Raw genomic sequence first — 6,000 nt, forward strand, 5'->3', positions numbered from 1 at the left:
CTCTTTAAGAAACAGAGTATAAACTTAGAAATATATCATTAATACCAAAGTAAATATTTGTTTAGAGAGACAGAAACAACATAACAAATTATACATTTTAAAAAGCTTTCAAAGGCTATAAACATAAAATCCAGAAAAGTAAGATTTCTTTATGTCCTAACACAACTTCATAACATTTTTTCTCCTGTTTTTTTAGGGGTTCGGGGGGCTACTTGTATTTTGCCTTGACATGTAACAAAAATTTCGTAAAAGTATGTTCTGTAGGGAAAATAGAAAAAAAATAATTCAGCCTTTTTTCCAGCATTGTTGGTTAAAATAATTTGGAAAAGTTACTTTTAGCTTCACAACGCATCTCTGGTTACACGTAGATTATTAGGATTGTTGTCAAATGCGGATAATCCTCTACTGAGTCTCTTTCATAGATGAGCTGTAAGAGTTCAAGTCATTTCAAGCATTCTCGGTCCATGACTAAACTTACATAGTCTTTGAACTGACAACATCCATTCACTCATGGAAGTGGTGTATTTTGAGTTTTCACTATATTTGTGAAAGTCAGGGAGAAACTCACATCTTTTCCCAATGTGTTCATGCAATTTACTCTCTTTAGTCATTGGTACAGTCCAAAAAGTTATTTATTATTTCTTTTTGCAGTTTGTTTCTTCCTCTAAATGAGTTACAACTTTTGTATGATCTGAATTTTTAGTATTGCCACTGCTACAATTTGCTTCTTGATGTCAGAATAATATGTGTTGATTTCATTGCCACTTTTGTTTGTATTTCATTAATTGAAATTTCTCTTCATCCTTTAACTATAAATTTTAAGATGACAAAAAGAGGTAACAGAATGATCTTTAAAAAAGATCACCCACGTTCCCCACCGCTCCCCGGCCCTGGCTCAAGATTCTTTAATGGCTTCCTGTTTTAATCCATATTGAATTGGAACCACATGGCCCTGTACTACCTGGCCTATGTTGACTCTCAGCCCTTACCTCCCACCATAACTTCCTTTTGTTCCTCAGGCTTCACCCCCTCTGAACTTCCTTTCTGTTCGGGGATACACTGAGCTTGCTCTACCTCAAGGCCCTTACACCTGCTGCTCCCTATTCCTGGGATACTTTTTGTTCAGATGTTTGCACTGAGGACTCTGTCTCATCATTTTTTTTTCTTTACTTGTTTAGAGACAGGGTCTCACTCCACGTAATGTTATCAGCCTGTCAACCAGGCTGAAGTGCAGTGATGTGATCATGGTTTCCCACAACATTGAACTCCTAGGCTCAAGCAGTCTTCCTGTCTCAGCCTCCCAAGTAACTGGGACTACAGGTGTATGCCACCATGCCCAGATAATTAAAAAAAATTGTATAGAGATGGAATTTAGCTATATGCCACACAAGTTGGTCTGGCACTCCTGGCCTCAAGTGATCCTTCCACCTCAGCCTCTCAGAGTGTTGGGATTACAGGTGTGAGGTGCTGAGACCAGCTTCTTCTCACCTTTATGTACCTGTTGCATGAAACTTCCCTAATCACTCTTCCACCCCTTCCAATCGTGATTTCACTAATTATTTTATCATAAACTCTTAGCAGCACTGATGAAAGGATTTTTAAACTCCTCTTTGTATTTGATCATTTGATTATGTGTTTGTTGGGCTGTTTATTGTCTGTTTGTCCTGACTGGACAGCCATTTTTTTGATGACAGGGATCCCATTCACTCACTGTTTCTCCTCAGGGCCATGAGCAGTGCCCAGGGCAGGACATGCAGCCCGTGAGAAGTGTTGGCACGGTGTGTATGTTATGAAAGGGTTCTTTGGCCCAAGAAAGCTTAGGCAATGCTTCACACAGCCCCCTTTTGTAGACTTACATTTCATCTGAGTATTTTGAAGCTTCTGAGACTTTTCTGCGATAAATCTATTTCATTTTGTTTACGCCAGAGTTTGACAAATGTATTTAACCACAGAAGCTTCTTGTTTTATTACCCTATTACCAACTACCATTTTGGAAATAGTCACACAAAGCCTTAAAATAATTTCTAACACCAGAGGAACTCTACACAATTCCATAAAACTACTTAGGTAAGGATTTAGGGTAAACAGACATTGAAAAATAATGCCTTCATAGCTCTAGTCTGGTCATCCATTCATTCACTCATTGAATAAGCATGTCTTGGACATCTGCCCTGTACCAGACATGACATCATGTCTCAGAGATATAGTGATTGGTACAATCCCTGTATCTCTGAGCCTCAGCATCTATGATATGGTGTGAGAAACACCACACTCTATGGGAGAGCATGTTGGAGCAGCACTGAGCCCAGTCTCGGGCTCTGGGAAGGCTTCCTGGTGAGGTGTCCTCTAAGCCAAGACCTGAAGGATTCATAGACATTTGCCAAATGAAGAGCCAAGGAAGACCACCACAGACATGGAGAGCAGCCTGCGTCCCAAGCTGGCAGCGTGAAGCAGCATGGGCATTGGAGGGACTGGGGGAGCCCGGTGTGGTGGGGCAGACTGCGAGAAACAGGTGCTGAGCTACGAGGACAGAGCAGTAAGCAGTGGCCAGGTCACACAGAAGCGACCTGAAACTGCTAACTTATTTATCTGTCCTACTAACCTGAATGTAGATTCATTTAAGTGGCTTTGTATTGTTGACTGTATTTCTCTGGCTTACTTTGTCACCTGGTGCCGAGTGAACATTTGGTAAAGTTTTATGAAATAGAGGAAGTAAAACAAGTTGAAGACTGGAGGAGTCTTTCAGTAACATTGCCAGTGGGGGGAAAAGCTGCTCTTGGGGGTACTGTGATCAACTGCTGCTTCATTTACTACTCATTTGCAAGCAACCTTCTAGGAGTAGCAGGAAAACACACCACAGACATGATAGCAATCACAGGCCTTTCTGATGGAGCAACTGGCCCGAGTAGCTGTCTCAGGAAAAGGGAGCAGCCGTTTCTGACACCGTTGGGAATATCTTTCTAGCTTTTGAGTAATTCTAAGTGTCAGGATCATTTAACTTTTCAGAGTGTGCAGTGTAAAACAAGTGGTAAATTGGGGTGGGGGGAGGAGTCCAAAAGAGAAAAATAGTCGATGTTGCAGACTTGTTTCCACTATTCAGTGGCCAATAAATGATGTCTAGACTCTGTCCCTCATTCCCATCTGGAGAGTTCTGCTGTTCTTACATAATAAACGAATCAAAAGAAAAACAGTCATGGGTGGGAGAAACAGCAGGGTCTTCGCATGTTGTTTCCCTTATGATTTCTTTGCCAACAGGAAGGCAACTATTCTAACTGAGCCAATGAACACTTTATGAAAACTGCTTTAATCCCAGACTTTCTTACCCTCCTGACTAGCCAAGTCATTTTTGGGTAGCTCAACACTTCTTATTTTGGCCCCGGCCCAGGGCTTTCTTATACCCTGAGAATTCATATGAAGACGATTATATACACTTTCTGGGACTACTTCTTTTTGTCAGAGTTTGAAACCAAAGAAATATTTAAACACTTTATTGTCTTTTTATGGTGATTCTGTCTGTGTAACTGATCAAACTTTTATAAGGGAAAGAAAAATACAGGTTTTGTTGAGTAAAGGGAGATGGTAAAGAGCTTGTTTCTTGTGAAACTGGTTCTGTGAATAAAGGAAATAAGGATGACAGTTTTGAAAGAATCGTCTGAATTCCTCCCCAGCCTTGGAGAGTTTTTCACCTCTTTTTTTTTTTTTTTTTTTCTAAAATTTAACTTTTCTTCTTGTTTTTAAGAATTGATACCTAAAACTGTACATATTCATGGGGCGCAGGTGATACTTTGATACGTGCATACAATGTGTACTGATTAAATCGGAGTAATTGAGATTTTGGTTAGACTTCTGTTCATATTTCATAGTTTTCTTTGTTGCTCAATTCTTGCCTTAAACAAGCACAAGTGTCTTTGCTTCCTGAATTCTTCACAGGAGAAAGGGATTGTCAAATGGTGAAGGCAAGGGGCCGGGGCAGGAACCTGGTTTTCCAGACTGGTCAGGAATGGAGGCTCCTGGAATTTTCCATAGTGTTTTATGATTCCCCCAGTCCCCTTCTTCTGCATCTTTGGCCTGTTGAAAAAAGGGAAGCAGTTGGAGGTTTTGAGAATTGTTTTTGAGCAGGCATGACAGGCTGTGGTGTGGAACCGTGCACCTATGTTTGACCTCGGACCCTTGAAAATGCAGCTAGAGTGCTGGATCTACAAGCTCAGGCACTGTGTTGAGGACTTAACTCTGTCAAATGACTACCTCTCCTTACACGCCTACAACTCCGGTTATTGGCCTATGTTTTCATCTTGCTGCTGTGTTTCTGGGCATGTGATAGAATTCAATGTGCCATGACAAAGGAAACATAAAGCGCACACTCACTTTTCTCTAAGCCACACAGCTGTTGCGCTCACTCTTCCATTACATAAAATCTTGTTTCTCATTCATGCATCTTAAATTGGTTTGTTTCAGGCTGGTGTTTCTCCAGCAAATCTAGAACAAGAAAGCAGATGCTAGATTCACATCATTTTCTGAACACTAGGTTTTTATGTGACACTATTGGTTACCTAACATCTATAAGTTTAGATGCTTGAGGTCAGCATGTAACACTCTTATAGGAATGTTATATGATCCATTCATGTCTAAAATTTTACTGTTTTAATAACATCAAGGACTACAATAATACTAAATTACACTGTGAGCTCAAGATCAATCAGTATCTGTAGTAGTCTGTTCTCATGTGGCTAATAAAGACATACCTGAGACTGGGTAATTTATGAAGGAAAGAGGTTTAATGGACTCACAGTTCCACATGGCTGGGGAGGCCTCACAATCATGGTGAAAAGTGAAGGAAGAGCAAAGGCATGTCTTACATAGCGGCAGGCAAGAGAGGTTGTGCAGGGGAACTCTCATGTATAAAACCGTCAGATCTCATGAGACTTATTCACTATCATGAGAACAGTATGGGGGAAACTGCCCCCGTGATTCAGTTATCTCCACCTGGCCCTGCCCTTGGTACATGGGGATTATTTCAATTCAAGGTGAGATTTGGGTGGGGACACAGCCAAATGATATCAGTATCTCGTTCATTACTGTATTCCTAATATTTAGAATGAAACCTTGTATTAGATGAGACTCAATGAAAAGTTGTTGCTGCTGTTTAGTCTGGGACTTAGGTTCCCACAGAATTAGATCCTAAGACAAAGATTTAAATGCTTTTTTGGAGGGTTCAGGGTCATTATAAGAGGAGTGAGGAAGCGATATAAAAGAAGAGAAGGAAGCCAATAGAATGTGCACTATTCAGTCTACTTCTGCAGTAGCGTCATGTGGGAGTGTAATCACACAGAGAAACTCTGGGGCATATTGCAGAACACATGTCTCAGAATTTTCCCACCCAAGAAACAATGGCGCTGCTCTATTTAAACACCGACTTCTGAAAATGAATTAAAGGCTGCTCCCAGGGGTGTTCATTCTATCATTTCCAGCCTGCCTTTCTGTGACCAGAGTGGCCTTTCTTGGCTCAGGAACTGAGTGCCCTCTGGCACAGAGATGCAGAGCCAGGCAGAAAGATGCCCAGCAGCCAGCCGCAATGGCAGTCAAAGGCTGTGCCAGGAATGTGGGCAGAGCACTGACTGTGTCTGCTCAAGGTAATTTTGAAGTGAAAGTAGTTGCCAATTATTCTAATTCCTCTGCATATTGCTTTAAGTGTACCAATGACATTTTTATCACAGTCATTTGAGTAATACAAAATGGCTGTTTAGTTGTCCCAGCACCACTAGTTGAAGAGACTATTTTTTCCCCATTGACTGGTCTCGGCACCCTCATCAAAAATCAATTAGTCATAGAGGTATGGGTTGATTTCTGGACTTTGAAATTCATCCCTTTGGTCTGTTTGTCTATCCTTTAGCCAATACTATAGTCTTGTAACACTGTAGCTTTGTAGCAAGTTTTTAAATTGGAAAGCATGAGTCTTCCAATGTTGTTCTTTCTCAAGATTGTTTTGGCTATTTGAGACTC

The sequence above is a fragment of the Homo sapiens genome, chromosome 13 (assembly GCF_000001405.40).
Source record: "Homo sapiens chromosome 13, GRCh38.p14 Primary Assembly".
NCBI classification, from domain to species: domain Eukaryota; kingdom Metazoa; phylum Chordata; class Mammalia; order Primates; family Hominidae; genus Homo; species Homo sapiens.